Source organism: Homo sapiens, chromosome X (assembly GCF_000001405.40).
Source record: "Homo sapiens chromosome X, GRCh38.p14 Primary Assembly".
NCBI classification, from domain to species: domain Eukaryota; kingdom Metazoa; phylum Chordata; class Mammalia; order Primates; family Hominidae; genus Homo; species Homo sapiens.
The window spans coordinates 125,382,356-125,402,352 of record NC_000023.11 but is presented as its reverse complement, the minus strand read 5'-3'; the positions used below and the strand labels follow the sequence as shown (position 1 = coordinate 125,402,352).

At 41.0% G+C, this 19,997-nt stretch overlaps 1 long non-coding RNA gene across 1 annotated transcript, besides 4 other annotated features; it reads left to right on the top strand.

Moving 5' to 3' along the window:
- Nucleotides 7,501-8,244: an enhancer, noted in NCBI's record as "OCT4-NANOG-H3K27ac hESC enhancer chrX:124527958-124528701 (GRCh37/hg19 assembly coordinates)". NCBI's record gives its function as "activates a minimal SCP1, AML or CMV promoter by ChIP-STARR-seq in naive and primed H9 embryonic stem cells {active_cell/tissue: H9 hESC(naive and primed)}" and the evidence as "EXISTENCE:reporter gene assay evidence [ECO:0000049][PMID:30033119]".
- Nucleotides 8,245-8,989: an enhancer, noted in NCBI's record as "NANOG-H3K27ac hESC enhancer chrX:124527213-124527957 (GRCh37/hg19 assembly coordinates)". NCBI's record gives its function as "activates a minimal SCP1, AML or CMV promoter by ChIP-STARR-seq in naive H9 embryonic stem cells {active_cell/tissue: H9 hESC(naive)}" and the evidence as "EXISTENCE:reporter gene assay evidence [ECO:0000049][PMID:30033119]".
- On the top strand, nt 9,452-16,736 carry LOC124905212 (uncharacterized). The gene is made up of 2 exons (XR_007068315.1): nt 9,452-15,514; nt 16,442-16,736. It is a non-coding gene; the product is annotated as an uncharacterized LOC124905212 (long non-coding RNA).
- Nucleotides 9,734-10,478: an enhancer, noted in NCBI's record as "H3K27ac hESC enhancer chrX:124525724-124526468 (GRCh37/hg19 assembly coordinates)". NCBI's record gives its function as "activates a minimal SCP1, AML or CMV promoter by ChIP-STARR-seq in primed H9 embryonic stem cells {active_cell/tissue: H9 hESC(primed)}" and the evidence as "EXISTENCE:reporter gene assay evidence [ECO:0000049][PMID:30033119]".
- Nucleotides 12,973-13,537: an enhancer, noted in NCBI's record as "OCT4-NANOG-H3K27ac hESC enhancer chrX:124522665-124523229 (GRCh37/hg19 assembly coordinates)". NCBI's record gives its function as "activates a minimal SCP1, AML or CMV promoter by ChIP-STARR-seq in naive H9 embryonic stem cells {active_cell/tissue: H9 hESC(naive)}" and the evidence as "EXISTENCE:reporter gene assay evidence [ECO:0000049][PMID:30033119]".
- Nucleotides 16,737-19,997: the final 3,261 nt, after the last annotated feature.

Here is a 19,997-nt window from a genome sequence, read left to right as displayed (position 1 = left end):
CTTAACTTCCCAACTGCCTATTCTTAAACTTAAAATGAATGGTTCTTTACAGTGGATTACCAAAACCTTCAAGCTGTGGTCACATCCACTAATGCCTCCATATGTGATACTTAATATTACCAAAATTGCTAAATCCGTCCAGTCATCAACTGGTATACATTTTGTGATTATATTTGGCCAATATGTTCTGATTAGTACCTCTTTCAACAGTCTTTTTCTCATAATTTGCCTTCATATCCAAAGGGAAATGATACTTAAATGTCCATGGGATACCTCAGTAGCTTTACCATCACCTACTGCCTTTACAGGCAATATCTTAACTACATCCACCTTCCTCCAATGACACAGGTATAACATTACATACATAACATCCTCTGAAGAAAAAATGTATTTGATACACTTATTCAGGGCTTACAAATAAGTCCACAAAAAAGAGATGGGCCATTGTCCTCTACATAGTGCAAGGGCCACACTGCCTTGGTTAAATAACTAAACATTATTTGGTAAACCAAGGGCTGCTCCATCCCTGACACTGTCAGGAAACAACTATTGACCCTTTCAATACCCTCAATGTTAAAACAAGACCAACATTTTTTAGGCCTTTGAGGTTCTGCAGGCAACGTTTTCCTCATTTTAAAATCGCATTTAATCTCACTTATGTTGTTACTTGCATATCAGCCCAATATGAATGACACCCTCTCCAATAAAGGCTCTAGAATCTGTCCAAATTCCCATACAACAGACATTTCTATTAATGGCCCTGTGATTCTCTCATTTTAGAGGCTTTAACAGCCTCCTCTCATGTCTTCTAAAGTCTCTGGACCAACCATGATAACCACAAGTTGCCCATAGACTTCTGATGCAAGAAATTGCCCTCCATGACCACGCACTACACTAGAACAGTATGATAATTAGCCTTTTGTTTTGTTTTTGTTTTTGTTTTTGTTTTGAGACGGAGTTTCAGTCTTGTTGCCCAGGCTGGAGTACAATGGCATGATCTCGGCTCACTGCAACCTCCGCCTCCCAGGTTCAAGCAACTCTCCTGCCTCAGCCTCCCGAGTAGCTGGGATTACAGGCATTCACCACCACACCCGGCTAATTTTTTATTTTTAATAGAGACAGGGTTTCTCCATGTTGGTCAGGCTGGTCTTGAACTCCCGATCTCAGGTGATCCGCCCCCCTCAGCCTCGCAAAGTGCTGGGCCTATAGGCGTGATCCACGGTGCCTGGCCCGTTATTTCTAGGTGTAAGGACATTTCTGGAAGAGACTAATATTAGAATTAGTGGACTGAGTAAAGCAGATGGCTCTCTCCAATATGGGTGGAAATCATCCAAACTGTCAAGGACCTGAAGAGAGGAAAAAAAACTTCACCACCTCTCTGATTGCATGAGTTGAACATTGATTTTCTCCTGCCCTTGGCACTCCTGGCTCTCTGGTTTGCAGATCTTAACTGGAATCTACACCATTGTCTCTCTGGCTCTCAGGCCTTCAAACTATATCACTGGCTTTCCTGGGCCTTCAATTTGAAGACAGCAAATTGTGGGACTTTTCAGAGCCTATAATTTCATGAGGCAACGTCTTATAATAAATCTATTTCTTGATACATAATAGGAGATTATATATATTGGTTTTATTTCTCTGAAAAACCATTACTAATAAAAACAATTGCTGGCCACCTGCTGATCTCTTTTAAAAACAGAGACTTTCACAGACCCTGAACTTATGACCCTTCATGCTAAGCTATCAATTATACCTTGGGCTATAAAAGCAATATCATGAAAGCTTGACTTGGTTACCAAGGCCTTCTTGCTACAGAATGGAGCAAAACCTGGGCCCTATGGTATGTCCCACTTGCAGGAGAAGGTGGCCTCACCCACAGGGGGACTGATAAGTCCTTTGCCAAATGTCATGGTGCTAAAAGAGGTCATTTCTCTCCCAAGCCCCTTTACTGCTTGGAGACTCCCTTGGGATCAACTGAGTGAACAACAATGGAAGTTCATACACTTTATGGACAATATTGCCACCATATAGATGACAGATCTTCATAGAGAGTTTCTGCCTTTTCATCTCTTAACCAGGCCATTTCTGATGGAGGACCAAACCCAATGATCAGCACAATTGGCCACACTTCCGTCACCTTAGCACTGGATGCTCTGTTCAGCAAATGGGCCCACCTGTAATTTTTTTATAAACTCTTGGGCCATTGCCTAAGAGTTTTCCCCTTTGGAATAAAGAAGCTCTTGCCTCACAGATGCCCAAAATATAAGTCAAGGTAATTGATATCTCTACATATACTAAGGCCACAACGCAAGGCCTTACCAGAAAATTCTGTATATACATCAGAGCTCCAGACATTTTTTTTTTGTCTTTTTTTTTTTTTTTTTTTTTTTTTTTTTTTTTTTTTTGAGACGGAGTCTTGCTCTGTCACCCCCAGGCTGGAGTGCAGTGGCGCGATCTCAGCTCACTGCAAGCTCCGCCTCCCGGGTTCATGCCATTCTGCCTCAGCCTCCTGAGTAGCTGGGACTACAGGTGCCCGCCACCACTCCCGGCTAAATTTTTTGTGTTTTTACTAGAGACGGGGTTTCACCGTGTTAGCCAGGATGGTCTCGATCTCCTGACCTCATGATCCACCCGTCTCGGCCTCCCAAAGTGCTGGGATTACAGGCGTGAGCCACCGCGCCTGGCCCAGGCATTATTAATAGTTACCAAGGCACTCATTTTACTTCTTATAACACACATGCTGGGATCTAGAAAAACACATTCAATGGAACATCTACCTTCCCTATAGGCCCCAGGAAACTGGCTTAACTGAAGAATAATCAGCTTCTCAAACAACACTTATTTAAGTTACAAAGTGGCAAATGTATCCACGTCTGGGTGTCACTATTGCCACAGGCATTGATTAGCCTAAATACATGGGAACATGCACTCCCTACACCAATGCCACAGTTTCCTCAATTGCCTTTATTGTCTACTAAAGAATACACGAATAAGGTTCAAGGTTTTTACTACCTCTTCTACCTCTTTGTCAAGGGCCTACTTTACTTCCTCAGAAGATATTTGTCCTACTCCCTAGGAGTCCCAGTCATTACTAAGGTTTAAATTGATGTCAAGGCATTGAGGGGTCAATTGTGGTATAAGGCCTAAAATTATGGTTCAATATTATGTGCTGCCTTGACATCTAGCAAAACTGGGAGGGCCTCATATGCTTAACCACATGTTCCTCTTCTCACTCTGTTTTCTCAGATAAGGTCCTTTAGCCAAGCAACCCCTTCTCCCTTATCAAGGAGACTAGGCACTGTTCCTCTGATCCCTGAGTAGTGTGTTTTGGTTCTCTGTCAGCCTGCAGTTTTTCAAATAAGCCAAGAACATCATCCTGTGGGAGGATCCTCCCTCTTAATACTGCAAAACCTGATTTCCACAACCCATGGTTGTTCACTCTATTCTTGAGCACAACCCCTGTGTGACTCTGTGGTGTGCAGTGTCCTCCTTCCCTGGGCTGTGAGTATATGTGACTAATGATTGCTGTCAATCTCATTTTTTCAGTGTCGAGTGCAGTGTATTTGTGCATACTCATAAACTTAGGACAAAAATCCCTCCCTCATCAACCTGATAAATCGATAATTAAATACAGCTTTTCATTAGGTAGCCAATAAGCGCTGATGAATGCCAACCAGCTGTCCCTTCGGGAAAGCCTGGTTGGAAGAAGTACAGGCTACATCAGAGTAAATATGGATTATGGGGTGAAATGATGGTCAAATGAGTCAAATTCGAAGGCTACATTATCTTCTTCTTCGAATACTAAAGTTGTGAGTTGTGAGAATTAATGGTAGTAAAGTAAAAAGAGAGCAAGAAAGGGGAGTTTAAATACCACTTCCCAAAATGTTCTTAAAGAGCCTGGGAGACAGGAGGTGAATGACTTGAAAGAGCATGATAGCAGGTGGATAATGTACAAACACAGATTTAAATAGAAATCAGCGTTTTATTTAGACATAGGAAAATGTGCATTGTAAGAATGAGATCAAGTGAGAAAAAACCTGTTATAGATGGCAGGAACCATCTCTTTGTCTTTTTAGTATACATTCTCACAGACCCCAATGAGCAATGGGTCCATGCAATGAATACAAAAACTCAATAATAGGTGTTAGAAATACTCATCCAATCTATTAATCCCTAACTCAATTTATAAATTCAGGATTGTTTTGTTATTTTTCTCTACCACTATATTGTAATTGATGCATTTTACCTTGCAATAATTAACCGCTTTGAATAAGAAAAACTCTTCACTTAACATTTTAATTAAAAAAAATATATTCTTACAGATGATGTATTGGAAAACTTGGATTTCATTAGGCCTTTTTAAAATTAGTCTCTTGGCTGGGCTTCCCCTTTCAGTTTGAAACCTACCAACCAAAAGTACAAACAAAATTAAATTTTGGAAAATGTGATCAGTCCCTGTAGCTATTTCCAGGAAGTTTCAGGAGGCATTAGCTAGAACTGCAATGGTAACAGCACACTTCTAAAGCAGGTGAATATCTCCAGTTAGGGAAATCAAAGTCTTCATTCCCTTTATGAAACCGACGTTGAAAAAAAAAAAAAAACCTAACAAACAAATATGAGAATTACTGTGGCTCTTCCCCTGGAAGCATTTGTGATTTAACGACGTCCATTTCTTAGGAACGTCTATATATATATAGCAGCTAGGGGATATGGTGATTACAAGGAAACGCCCTCCTGACCTTCTGCCCCTGAATAAGATTTTCCCTGGTTGGCCAAATCTACAAATCTAGGATAGATACACTTTGCATTTTACTTTACCCTAGGACAGGTGCAGTCTGGCATTTAAAAAAAAAAAGTAAATGTATGAAGGGCACCATTATCACTTTTTGTAAAATGAGTAATGTTACTTAAATTGATTTAGGGATTTAGAGTTAAGAAGTCAATAAATGAAGAACATTATCTTTGTTTTATTTTCTTCTCATGTAGCATTTAGAAGAGTTCTAAGCATATAGTAAATGCATAACAATTAACACATTTCTAATGGTTACTTTGTCTTCTAAATGTGCAAATAGATGACTGAACAAACTGCTCCTTATTCATAGAGTTTTTGTTTCATATTTGTTGTTCAGTGAGATCCATATCTAATCAGAAAGACAAACCTAATGATGCTGGAAAATAGATCACTTGATAATTTAGCCTGAATTTTTTCCTTAATAATATTAATAATATCTATTTACTTGCCTTTTTTTGTAGGTTAGAAAAAGGGCAGTTCTGCTTGCTGGTACAGGGAGAAACTCCTAGACATTTGGTTACAAACCTGTAAATGGTAGATTTCTAGGAACTGAGAAGTTATTATAAGTCATCTATGAAGCCAGGGGCAAATTCTAATCTTTTGCTCTACAAATAGAATAGAATCAAATAGAATGAAATAGGATTTAAAAATAAGGGTCTTTATAAGAAAAGTTGAGACACTTTGGTCTAGATAAACTCAGGTTCTTTTCTAATCCTATAGCTCCTCTGACAATGAAATATAAAACAATTACATGTTTTCAAAACTCCTAAAAGTAAGTTCTAAATCCAAAGCTCTGACATCTTATTTCCTCATCCATGCTCTTGCTTTATGAGTTCCCTCCCTTATATTGCAATATCCCATGTAGTTTAATAACAAAATTCTCTAAATGCTAACAATTTATTTGACCTGTCATTTTTTTAAAAATTAACATATTAAAAAAAAACAAGACACAACATTTCATATGGAGTTCAATGTCAATTCTGTAAAAGAATAAGAACATAGGAAAATAAAGTGAGATTATGGCATATTTGTAGTTTTTTCTTTATAGATTTTTATGTTTCCAAAATTTCTAAAACAAGAACAATTTTTATAATAAACAAATGCCTTGTGAGTCATTTTAGGTAAAGAGAATCAAATAGGGAATAATGTGTTATTAGAATTTCAATGGGTTTTGAATTCCTACTTTTTTTTTTTTTTAACTGGTCCACACCAAGTATCTAAAATCACATTTAAGTTTTCCTCCTGGGATTAATTTATATATTATTCAAGTTAAGACTACTGAAAAGCTAACGTAACCAGAATGTTTCAAGTAATTGCACATTTATATCTATTATGTTCTGCTTGCATGAGAAAGAGCGTGAAAAGTTAAGTGAAGGCTTTACTGATGAGGACTAAACTCTGATATTCTTATCTTGTCCAAATTCCTATCTAAGGAGTCTGGGGAGTCATGCCCTACAAATCATAAATTCTCATCAGATGGGTTTTATTTAACCCTATATATCATGACTTACTTTCCAACCTGACTCTGGCATAACATTAGGAGACAAGGAAGAAAATCAAAATATTTTACCCCAAAACATGTTTGTTTGCTATATCTTGAAATGGCCCTGCAAAGCTGTCCTTTGTGAAGGAAAATTTGCATCTGTAAAGAATCTCTATTAACATAGCTACACTTTTTTCTTCTAGACCCTCCCAATCCCAAAGAGATTAAAAGTCTAGCACCTTTTAAAGAACTAAATAGAAAACATTTGTCATCTATTATCTCTAAGGGTAGCCACTATAAGACTTAAAAAGAACCTTGGTCTCCACAATCTTTCCTCTTAACCTGAACATTTCCTTTCTATGATCCCAGGTCTGCAGATAAACTCAACCAATTGTGAACCAGAGAAAGTTTAAATTTACCTGTAGCCTAGTAAATAGCTCCCCCACTCCCCCGCCCCACCAACACACACCAACTCCTGCTTCGAATTGTCCCACGTTTCTGGACCAAACTAATGTATTTCTTAAATATATTTGATTGATGTCTCATGCCTCCCTAAAATGTATAAAACCAAGCTGCACCCTGACCACCTTGGGCACATGTTCTCAGGACCATCTGAGGGCTGTGTCACAGGCCATGGTCACTCATATTTGGCTCAGAATAAATTTCTTCAAATATTTTACATAGTTTGACTCCTTTTGTTGACAATGAGGACTTATTAAAACTTTTGACAGATTGATCAACGCCCCCAAAAATCCCAAAACAGGATCAGTATCCACTCTACCTGCATCATCTCTAGTATTATCATGACTCACTCTAATGCACTTAAATATCCAAGATCAAAAAGTACCTACTGAGTCAGCAGGTTTTCATGTTACAGGTATGTATCTATAGAGCAGACCAGTGACATTCTTGACAATCTCCAAATTCAAAACAACAAAAAGACTTATGAAGAGCAAGGTGCAAATTGAAAATAACATCTCACTGTAATATCTGTGTGTAGGTATAACTAGGCTCACTCACTAAGTTACTTACTCCCTCATGCATACAATGAAGGACAAATATAATTCAAATTTATACCTAACAAAACTACAAAATATTCCCTGTTGTGGACCTACAAAGTAATTGGCAATGGCTGGACAATACACAAGACAGATTTTTATTCTTATATAATTGGTAAGGTGTTGGGGCTCAGAAATCAATACCCCAAAATATGGCACTTTGTACATGCTGAATTGAAAAAGAATCCTCAAGGTCTTTCTGATCGTCCCTGATCCCCCAACCCCATGCCTCTCTCCCTTAGACTAGAATGAAGTTGTTATCTGAAGTTCCTTTATTTGACTAAAGGCTGGACCTACTAAGGTGAACAATTGTCTTTTCTTTCCTTCCCTGTTATCTCATTATCAATGCAGAAAAAAAAAGACCAAGAATGTAACCACACCTGAAAATATCCCTTCACAAGATAATGTCTGTCTCAGAATAATTTAAATTCCAAAAAGAACTACTTACGGGTTAAACTATGTCAGGCCTCTGAGCCCAAGCCAAGCCATCGCATCCCCTGTGACTTGCACATATACGCCCAGATGGCCTGAAGTAACTGAAGAATCACAAAAGAAGTGAATATGCCTTGCCCCACCTTAACTGATGACATTCCACCACAAAAGAAGTGTAAATGGCCGGTCCTTGCCTTAAGTGATAACATTACCTTGTGAAAGTCCTTTTCCTGGCTCATCCTGGCTCAAAAAGCACCCCCACTGAGCACCTTGCGACCCCCACTCCTGCCCGCCAGAGAACAAACCCCCTTTGACTGTAATTTTCCTTTACCTACCCAAATCCTATAAAACGGCCCCACCCCTATCTTCCTTCACTGACTCTCTTTTCGGACTCAGCCCGCCTGCACCCAGGTGAAATAAACAGCCATGTTGCTCACACAAAGCCTGTTTGGTGGTCTCTTCACACGGACGCGCATGAAATTTGGTACCGTGACTCGGATCGGGGGACCTCCCTTGGGAGATCAATCCCCTGTCCTCCTGCTCTTTGCTCCGTGAGAAAGATCCACCTATGACCTCAGGTCCTCAGACCGACCAGCCCAAGGAACATCTCACCAATTTTAAATCAGGTAAGCGGCCTCTTCTTACTTTCTTCTCCAACCTCTCTGTCCCTCAACCACTTTCTCCTTTCCACTCTTCAATCTCTCCCTTCTCTTAATTTCAATTCCTTTCATTTTCTGGGAGACACAAAGGAGACACATTTTATCCGTGGACCCAAAACTCCGGTGCCGGTCACGGACTGGGAAGGCAGTCTTCCCTTGGTGTTTAATCATTGCAGGGACGCCTCTCTGATTATACACCCACGTTTCAAGGGTGTCAGACCACACAGGGACGCCTGCCTTGGTCCTTCACCCTTAGCGGCAAGTCCCGCTTTTCTGGGGAAGGGGCAAGTACCTCAACCCCTTCTCTCCTTGTCTCTACCCCTTCTCTGCTTTTCTGGGAGAGGGGCAAGTACCCCTCAACCCCTTCTCCTTCACCCTTAGCAGCAAGTCCTGCTTTTCTAGGGGGCAAGAACCCCCAATCCCTTATTTCTGCACCCCAACCTCTTATCTCTGCACCCCAATCCCTTATTTCCACACCCCGACCTCTTATCTCTGCGCCCCAACCCCTTTTCCCACTTTTCTGGAAGGTAAGAACCCCCTGAACCCCTTCCCTCCATTTCTCTACTCTCTCTTTTCTCTAGGCTTGCTTCCTTCACTATGGGCAACCTTCCACCCTCCATTCCTCCTTCTACTCCCTTGGCCTGTGTTCTCAAAAACTTAAAACCTCTTCAACTCACACCTGACCTAAAACCTAAATGCCTTATTTTCTTCTGCAATGCTGCTTGAACCCAATACAAACTTGACAGTAGTTCCAAATAGCCAGAAAATGGCACTTTGAATTTTTCCATCCTGCAAAATCTAAATAATTCTTGTCATAAAATAGGCAAATGGTCTGAGGTGCCTGACATCCAGGCATTCTTTTACACATCAGTCCCTTCCTAGTCTCTGTGCCCAGTGCAACTCGTCCCAAATCTTCCTTCTTTCCCTCCTGCCTGTCCCCTCAGTACCAACCCCAAGCGTCGCTGAGTCTTTCTAATCTTCCTTTTCTACAGACCCAGACCCATCTGACCTCTCCCTTCCTCCCCAGGCTGCTCTTCGCCAGGCCGAGCTATGTCCCAATTCTTCCTCAGCCTCTGCTCCTCCACCCTATAATCTTTTCATCACCTCCCCTCCTCACACCTGGTCCAGCTTACAGTTTCATTCCATGACTAGCCCTCCCCCACCTGCCCAGCAATTTACTCTTAAAAAGGTGGCTGGAGCTAAAGGCATAGTCAAGGTTAATGCTCCTTTTTCTTTATCCCAAATCACATAGCGTTTAGGCTCTTTTTCATCAAATATAAAAATCCAGCCCAGTTCATGGCTCGTTTGGCAACAACCCTGAGACGCTTTACAGCCCTAGACCCTAAAAGGTCAAAAGGCCGTCTTATTCTCAATATACATTTTATTACCCAATCTGCTCCCGACATTAAATAAAACTCCAAAAACTGGAATCTGGCCCTCAAACCCCACAACAGGACTTAATTAACCTCACCTTCAAGGTGTACAATAACAGAAAAAAGTTGCAATTCCTTGCCTCCACTGTGAGACAAACCCCAGCCACATCTCCAGCACACAAGAACTTCCAAACTCCTGAACCGCAGCAGCCAGGCATTCGTCCAGAACCCCCTCCCCCAGGAGCTTGCTACACATGCCAGAAATCTGGCCACTGGGCCAAGGAATGCCCGCAGCCCGGGATTCCTCCTAAGCCGCATCCCATCTGTGTGGGACCCCACTGAAAATCGGACTGTTCAACTCACCTGGCAGCCACTCCCAGAACCCCTGGAACTCTGGCCCAAGGCTCTCTGACTGCTTCCCAGATCTTCTTGGCTTAGCGGCTGAAGACTGACACTGCCCGATCACCTCGGAAACCCCCTAGACCATCACAGACGCCGAGCTTCAGGTAACTCTCACAGTGGAAGGTAAGCCCGTCCCCTTCTTAATCAATATGGAGGCTACCCACTCCACATTACCTTCTTTTCAAGGACCTGTTTCCCTTGCCTCCATAACTGTCGTGGGTATTGACGGCCAGGCTTCTAAACCTCTTAAAACTCCCCAACTCTGGTGCCAACTTAGAAAATACTCTTTTAAGCACTCCTTTTTAGTTATCCCCACCTGCCCAGTTCCCTTATTAGGCTGAGACACTTTAACTAAATTATCTGCTTCCCTGACTATTCCTGGACTACAGCTATATCTCATTGCCGCCCTTCTTCCCAATCCAAAGCCTCCTTTGTGTCCTCCTCTTGTATCCCCCCACCTTAACCCACAAGTATAAGATACCTCTACTCCCTCCTTGGTGACCGATCATGCACCCTTTACCATCTCATTAAAACCTAATCACCCTTACCCCACTCAAAGCCAATATCCCATCCCGCAGCACGCTTTAAAAAGATTAAAGCTTGTTATCACTCACCTGCTACAGCATGGCCTTTTAAAGCCTATAAACTCTCCGCACAATTCCCCCATGTTACCTGTCCTAAAACCAGACAAGCCTTACAAGTTAGTTCAGGATCTCCATCTTATCAACCAAATTGTTTTGCCTATCCACCCTGTGGTGCCCAACCCGTACACTCTTTTGTCCTCAATACCTTCCTCCACAACTCACTATTCCATGCTTGATCTTAAAGATGCTTTTTTCACTATTCCCCTGCACCCCTCATCCCAGCCTCTCTTCTTTCACTTAGACTGACCCTGACACCCATTAGGCTCAGCAAATTTCCTAGGCTGTACTGCCGCAAGGCTTCACAGGCAGCCCCCATTACTTCAGTCAAGCCCAAATTTCATCCTCATCTGTTACCTATCTCGGCATAATTCTCATAAAAACATACGTGCTTTCCCTGCTGATCGTGTCCGATTAATCTCCCAAACCTCAATCCCTTACAAAACAACAACTCCTTTCCTTCCTAGGCATAGTGTGGTCAGAATTCTTACACAAGAGCCAGGACCACACCCTGTAGCCTTTCTGTGCAAAGAACTTGACCTTACTGTTTTAGCCTAGCCCTCATGTCTGCGTGCAGCGGCTGCCGCTGCTTTAATACTTTTAGAGGCCCTCAAAATCACAGACTATGCTCAACTCACTCTCTACACTTCTCATAACTTCCAAAATCTATTTTCTTCCTCATACCTGATGCATATACTTTCTGCTCCCTGGCTCCTTCAGCTGTACTCACTCTTTAAGTCCCACAATTACCATTGTTCCTGGCCTGGACTTCAGTCTGGCCTTGCACATTATTCCTGATACCACACCTGACCCCCATGACTGTATCTTTCTGATCCACCTGATATTCACCCCATTTCCCCATATTTCCTTCTTCTTTCCTGTTCCTCACCCTGATCATGCTTGATTTATTGATAGCGGTTCCACCAGGCCTAATCGCCACACACCAGCAAAGGCAGGTTATACTATAGTACAAGCCACTAGCCCCCCGCCTCTTAGAACCTCTCATTTCCTTTCCATCGTGGAAGTCTATCCTCAAGGAAATAACTTCTCAGTGTTCCATCTGCTATTCTACTACTCCTCAGGGATTATTCAGGCCCCCTCCCTTCCCTACACATCAAGCTCCAGGATTTGCCCCACCCAGGACTGGCAAATTAGCTTTACTCAACATGCCCAAGTCAGGAAACTAAAATACCTCTTAGTCTAGGTAGACATTTTCACTGGATAGGTAGAGGCCTTTCCTACAGGGTCTGAGAAGGCCACCGCAGTCATTTCTTCCGTTCTGTCAGACATAATTCCTCAGTTTAGCCTTCCCACCTCAATACAGTCTGATAACAGATAAGCCTTTATTAGTCAAATCAGCCAAGCAGTTTTTCAGGCTCTTAGTATTCAGTGAAACCTTTATATCCCTTACGGTCCTCCGTCTTCAAGAAAAGTAGAATGGACTAAAGGCCTTTTAAAAACACACCTCACCAAGCTCAGCCACCAAAAAGGACTGGACAATACTTTTACCACTTTCCCTTCTCAGAATTCAGGCCTGTCCTCGGAATGCTACAGGGTACAGCCCATTTAAGCCCCTGTATAGACGCTCCTTTTTATTAGGCCCCAGTCTCATTCCAGACACCAGACCAACTTAGACAGTGCCCCAAAAAACTTGTCATCCCTACTATCTTCTGTCTAGTCATACTCCTATTCACCGTTCTCAACTACTCATACATGCCCTGCTCTTGTTTACACTGCCAGTTTACACTGTTTTTCCAAGCCATCACAGCTGATATCTCCCGGTGCTATCGCCAAACTGCCACTCTTAACTCTTGAACTAAATAAATAATCTTTGCTGGCAGGACTATGCTGAATCTCCTTAGGCACTCTCTAATCAGATGCCCTAGGTCCTCCCAATTCTTAGACCTTTTATACCTGTCTTTCTCCTTCTGTTATTCCATTTAGTTTCTCAATTCATCCAAAACCGTATCCAGGCCATCACCAATCATTCTATACGACAAATGTTTCTTCTAACATCCCCACAGTATCACCACTTACCTCAAGGCCTCCCTTCAGCTTAATCTCTCCCACTCTAGGTTCCCACGCCGCCCCTAACCCCACTCGAAGCAGCCCTGAGAAACATCGCCCATTCTCTCTCCATACCACCCCCCAAAAATTTTCGCTGCCCCAACACTTCAACACTATTTTGTTTTATTTTTCTTATTAATATAAGAAGGCAGGAATGTCGGACCTCTGAGCCCAAGCCAAGCCATCGCATCCCCTGTGACTTGCACATATACGCCCAGATGGCCTGAAGTAACTGAAGAATCACAAAAGAAGTGAATATGCCTTGCCCCACCTTAACTAATGACATTCCACCACAAAAGAAGTGTAAATGGCCGGTCCTTGCCTTAAGTGATAACATTACCTTGTGAAAGTCCTTTTCCTGGCTTATCCTGGCTCAAAAAGCACCCCCACTGAGCACCTTGCGACCCCCCCACTCCTGCCCACCAGAGAACAACCCTCCTTTGACTGTAATTTTCCTTTACCTACCCACATCCTATAAAACAGCCCCACCCCTATCTCCGTTCGCTGACTCTCTTTTCGGACTCAGCCCGCCTGCACCCAGGTGAAATAAACAGCCATGTTGCTCACACAAAGCCTGTTTGGTGGTCTCTTCACACGGACACGCATGAAACTCTGTTCCTCAATTCATTCATTCTCCCTAGTAATCATTTATTGCCCCCCACCAACAGAATTTTTCTCCCATTCCCATAACCTGCTTTGCCAGAATCCAAGCCCCCATTCTTTCAGTAACCTCAAGATGGTATATAAATTTCTGCACCCCATTGGGAGTGGATCTTCATTTTGAAGGCTCCCATGTACATGTTAAATACATTTGTATGTCTTTTCTCCTACTAATCTGCCTCTTGTCAGTTATTTTCAGAGAACTTTCAGAGGGTAAAGAAGTTTTCCCTTGGCCCCAACATTGTTCAGTTACTGAATACTGATTAACCATTCATTATAATTTTTTTAAAAAGACCTTTGTGAAAGAATAGAAATATCCTAAATACTCACAGTTTGTTTATTGTGTTGCCAGTGGAGGGTCTTGACTACGAGTTGTCCAGGTCCTTCGCATTTTAAACAAATAATTGAACAAAACGCACTAAGTAGCAGAGGCATGAAATGCGGGGATGAAGCAGCGAAAGCAGGAATTTATGAAATCGAGAAAGCACTCCGCAGGGTGGCAGTGGGCCCGAGCAAGTGGCTTAAGAGCCCAGTTACAAACTTTTCCAGGCTTTAAGTACCCCCTTTGAGGTTCTTATCGGCTACCCCTTATCTGGATGAAAGATTTGGTCTGTGGCTAAAGGCTGAGGTGAATTGGTGCCCTATGCAGATAAAGGGATGGTCTCTGGTTGGCCTGCGGCCAGTCTAAGGCACTCTCCTTTCCCATCTGAGATGTGGTGGAAGGGGAAGGATTTTAGGGAGAGTAGCCTTTGATCCCTTGTTACTAGGCATGGGGAAATTGGGTTTTTCTATTTTGGTTTAGCTTTAAGAAGTTTGTGTTAATTGGCCTTAGATTGCCTGCCCCCAGACCCAGGTGTTTTCCTTTTGATCCAGCTTTGGGAAGTCAGTGCAAATTGGCCTTAGATTTCCTGCCCCCAGACCTTGGTGTTATTTCTTTTAGGAAGTTAGCACAAATTGGCCTTAAGTTCCCTGTCTCCAGACCCTATTCTCCTGCCTCAATTGTACACGTTGAGATAGACTTCTGATATTTTTGTGGCCTATTTCTCACTGGAGCACACACTTTTAACTTGGTTGCTGTAAACCAAAACTAAAATTCTAAGCCCCTCAACCATCTGAATTGACCTCTCCTCTTGGCCAAGGGAATTCCAAAGTTAACCTGAAAAACTAGATCAGGCCATGATGGGAAGCTGGGGTTGGATATGCCACATTATTCCCTCCTCCCTTTTGGAATTCAGGCACAGCTGACCAGCGTTAACATTAAAACAGATCTTAAGACTGACAAAGCAGACTCTTTATAGCAATGAGACACCAAATTCCAGCCTGACTCTAGTATAGCATCACATGAAAGATACGAGACCCTGAAATAAGTCAAAGTATTTTACCCCAAATATGTTTCTTTGTCATATCTTGAAATAGTCCTGCAAAGCCATCTCTTGAGGGGAAAATATACATTCTGAAGAGAATCATCTGTCTTTTCCAGGACTTTTTCCTTGTCCAGGAGAGAATCAACTCTGATAAGAAACATTTACAATCTATTTTCTCTGAAGCTTGCTACCTGGAGGCTTCCCCTATGTAACAGGAACCTTGGTCTCCACAACCCGTTATCTCAATCCAGACATCCCCTTCTATTGATTCTGGGTTTTTAGACAATAACTTACCTCTTTCAACCAATTGCCAATCAGAAAATCTTTGAATCTACTCATGACCTGGAAGTCCCCCATTGCTCTGAGTTGTCCCACCTTTCTGTACTGAACTGTTGCAGGAAAAGGGTCCTGATACAGATTTCAAGAGATGGCTCTTGGATCTTGCACAAGAAAGAATCTGGGGCAAGTCCACAGAGTAAAATGAAAGCAAGTTTATTAAGAAAGTAAAGGAATGGAAGAACAGCTACTCCACAGACAGAGCAGGGCATTCTCAAAAGCAAGAGGAGGAACACGCTCACCTTAGGTACAATGCTTGTTTATTTATAAGAAAACAAAGCAAAAAATCATGGGAGAGATGTGCTCTACTACAGGCGCTGTGACAAAGGATTGTTAATCTTTGTGTAACTACTGTCTTCTGCATGAATACATTTTATAATCATTAAAGTGAAACTTATTCTTAAAGTAAGGATGCTTTTGTTCTTAAGATATCGGGACATCAGGACATTGCCTTTGTCTGTTATTTCCTGGGTCTGTTAAGTTTGGGGTCTATTTTATAAACATTATTAACTTGTTTCCTTAACTATAATATCCTGTGACTAAGAATGCCTAACCTGCTGGGAATGTGGCCCAGCAGGTCTCAACCTCATTTTACCCAGCCTCTATTCAAGATGGAGTCGCTCTGGTTGAAATGCCTCTGATAGAACCAATGTACATCTTACATATATTGATTGATGTATTATGTCTCCCTAAAATGTATAAAACCAAACTGTAGCCCGACCACCTTGGGAACAGCTTCTCAGGCTCTCCTGAGGGCTGTGTCATGGGCCATTGGTCACTCATATTTGGCTCAGAATAAATCTCTTCAAATATTGTGCAGAATTTGACTCTTTTTGTCAGCAGTGCACATAATTTAACTGCCCTGAGTTTTTGCATTTGGATATTGTATCTATATTTTTCCCAAATTTAAACGATTTACTTGTTCGTTGGTGAAACTGAACTGTTATCTTAGCAAACAACACTTGGAAAAACCTTTCGTCAAAATGCCCTGCATTTTTCTGTGTAGGAATCCTATAGGAAGTACACTGTGAAAACTAACAAAATATATTAAGTGACTATGTTGAAAGATTATATACCTAGTAGAGAGATCAGGAAATATGACATGAAAATATTTTGTTTTTTTAGCTATGTGTAAAACTGTAAGTTAACAAGATAAGATTAATTTTAATTTCAGCCTTCTTTAGTGGAGTTGAGGCATTCCACATGTTCCATCATAGCTGATCCAGATACAGAAACTACAAAGAAATACAGTGCATATGAAGCAACCCAAGGTCAGGTAATATTTCCAAGTAACAATTTCCTGGACTGTATTTCAACTCCCATCTTTTTCTTGCCCTTGTTTTAAGAGCCAAGGATTTGAGACAGAACACTGAAGATTGATTCACAAAGGCAGCACAATTTGTTTAAAATTGTGAGATATGTAATTTACGTGAACCTGATATTTTAATAAAAATATGAAAAATATAAAATACAGTATCTATAATATTAGTATTTATAAAATAATAATAATATTTGTATAATGATAATAATTGTCCTTTGCCTGCATACTTGGGGCGTTTAACAAATGAAATAAAATAATTGATTTTAAAAAGCTTTATATGTTATAAATTGCCACAGAAATGTTATCATTATTTACAGTAGTAGTAAATATTCCATTCTCTCCATTTTTTTAGAGGACTTAGGAGAAGAGAGGCAAGCTTGTGAATAACCAGGACTTTACCATGAAGAGAGCAACTCACTGTATTAAGCAATATTTATTGAACCTACCGTTAAAAGAAAAACCTTAGACAAATTAAATTTAGCAGAGTTTAATTGAGCAAAGAATGATTCGTGAATTGGGAAGCCTCTGAACCAAAATAGGTTCAGAGAGGATCCAGCCTGCCTTATGGTGGAAGAAGATTTGTGGACAGAAAAAGGAAAGTGAAGTACAGAAATGGAAGTGAGGTATAGAAACAGCCAGATTGGCTACAGCTTGCTGTTTGTCTTATTTGAACATGGTTTGAACAGTTGGCTGTCCTCTATTGGCTAAAACTCAGGGACTGGCACAAGAGTAGGTTACAGTCTGTTTACACATCAAGTTAGGTTATAGTTCACTGTGTATGGAGAAACCTTTAAAATATGTAAAGAGGTGGCTTTTGGCTAAACTTAATTAAACACTACTATGTGAAACATTGTGTAATACTGAATTCTATTATATTCTTTAAAACCTTTCTTCTGCCTTTTTTTTTTTTTTTTTTTTCTGAGACGGAGTCTTGCTCTGTCACCCAGGCTGGAGTGTAGTGGCACGATCTTGGCTCACTGCAACCTTTGCCTCCCAGATTCAAGCAATTCTCCTCCCCCAGCCTCCTGAGTAGCTAGGTTTACAGGAGCCCACCACTGCGTCCAGCTAATTTTTGTATTTTTAGTAGAGACAGGGTTTCACCACGTTGGCCAGGCTGGTCTCGAACTCCTGACCTCGTGACCCTCCCACCTCGGGCTCCCAAAGTGCTGGGATTACAGGTATGAGAAACTGTGCCCAGCCTCTTCTGCCTTTTTTTATTGTAGGAAAATGTATGTAAATTTACATAAAATTTACGAAAATTTACATCAAAAATTTACATAACTTAAACTCACCATTTTAACCATTCTAAAGTATAAAATTCAGTGACATTTAGTACATTTACAGTGTTGTGTAATCATCACCCCTATCTAGATTCAAAATATTTCCATCGCCCTCTAAAACAACTCCCAAGATACTATTTGCTCCACTATTCAGAAAATATCATGCAAAGGAAATCAAACAAAATGCAGCCTTTTTTGTCTAGCTTTTTTCACTTAGCATGTTTTTAAAGTTCATCCACATTTCAGCATGTGTTTTTTTTTTTTTTTAGACAGAGTTTCGTTCTTGTTGCCCAGGCTGGAGTGCAGTGGTGCAATCTCAGCTCACTGCAACCTCCATCTCCCAGGGTCAAACGATTCTCCTACCTCAGCCTCCCAAGTAGCTGAGATTACAGGCATTTGCCTCCATGCCCAGCTAATTTTGTATTTTTAGTAGAGGTGGGGGTTCACCATGTTGGTCAGGCTGGTCTTGAATTCCTAACCTCAGGTGATCCACCCACTTCAGCCTCCCAAAGTGCTGGGATTACAGGCGTGAGCCACTGTGCCCGGCCCACTTCATTTCTTTTTAAGACCAAATGATATTTTATTAAATAGATAAACCTTATTTTTGTCTATCCATTTATAAGTTAATGAACATTCACTTTTTGACTATTGTGAATACTGCTCTTATGAATACCTTTGTACAATGTTTTGGATTTTTTTCTTTTTTCTTTCTTTTTTTTCCTTTGTGTTTACCCTGTCAGAACTAAGCAGAGGGAAGCAGAAAAAGCATAGGCCAGGACAAGTTGTACAAGTTTTCGTATGAACAAAAAGACAGAGATAACAAGTATTCGCAAGGATTTGAAGAAAAGCAAACTCTTATAAACTCTTGGTGGAAATATAAACTGATATAGCCATTATTAATAGTATAGAGGTTCCTCATAAAACTAAAAATAGGACTACCATATGATTCAGCAATTCCACCACTGGGTACATATCTAAAGGACATGAAATCTGTGTATCTGTGCTCTTATATTCATTGTAGCATTCTTCACAATAAATAAGATCCAAACTAAGTGTCGATCAATAGATGAAAATATGATATGTGTGTGTACATGTAGTAATATGTATGTATGTATGCATAATATATATATAATATGTATAAATGTCATAAATACATAGATATACAGAATGAAATGATATTCAGCCATAAAATAGAAGGAAATCTTTCCATTAGTGACAATGTGGGGATGAACCTGGAGGACATCATACTAAGTGAAATAAGCCAGACACAGACAAATACTGCGTGATCTCACTTATATATGAGGTCTTTTTCTTAACTCAGTAGTTACTTGGTTGCTGTAAACCTTTGTTTATTTTTAAGAGTTCCAAAAAGGTTGATTTTCACAGTTCTTGCTCAATTTTTTCTGAGTTTCATTGAGGATATGAGCCCTTGGAGCTCTCTCCTCCACCATTTGAACTCTCTGATCTTTTTGTACAAGTAGCCGATGGTTGACAAGATATGATCTGGAGGGAGAGCACAAGGAATGTTCAGAGATTATATGACTTACTTTTGCTTGTACAACATTTTAGCACTTACGGAGCATTTTCATGTGGTGAATACATAAAGAAGTTTGCCACATGTGACCGTCATTATAGTTCATATTTTTGAAGGTAAAGTCATCCTTTTTGACATTAATAATGAAGGCTTAAGAGGAAAGTGTGAGTTTACTAGAGAATCTATACATAGAAAAAGATCAAAAGTCTAGTTAGATTTGCATGAGAATCTAGAGGTATAAAAAGTATTGTTTTCGATTGAGGGTCTCTGGAACCAGGTGCTAAGATTTGGAAGGGAGGAAAAGGATGGAGAATTCACACAGGATGAAGTCTAACTGTGGTGCAGACCCCATAAACTTTTAATCATTTCCACCAGGAGCTATGTAGCTTATGTTTGTCCCAGCGTGGACCAGAATGATTGGAAGTTTACACCCAACTTCAGTCACTGCATATTCCACTGGAAGCATATGACCTCACACGGGATGATTCCCTGTGGTTGAGGCACCAGCTAGAGGAGTTGACGGTTAGGGCAACAAGGGTGACAGTTTGGATGTGTGTCCCCTCCAAATCTCATGTTGAAATGTGATCCCCAATGT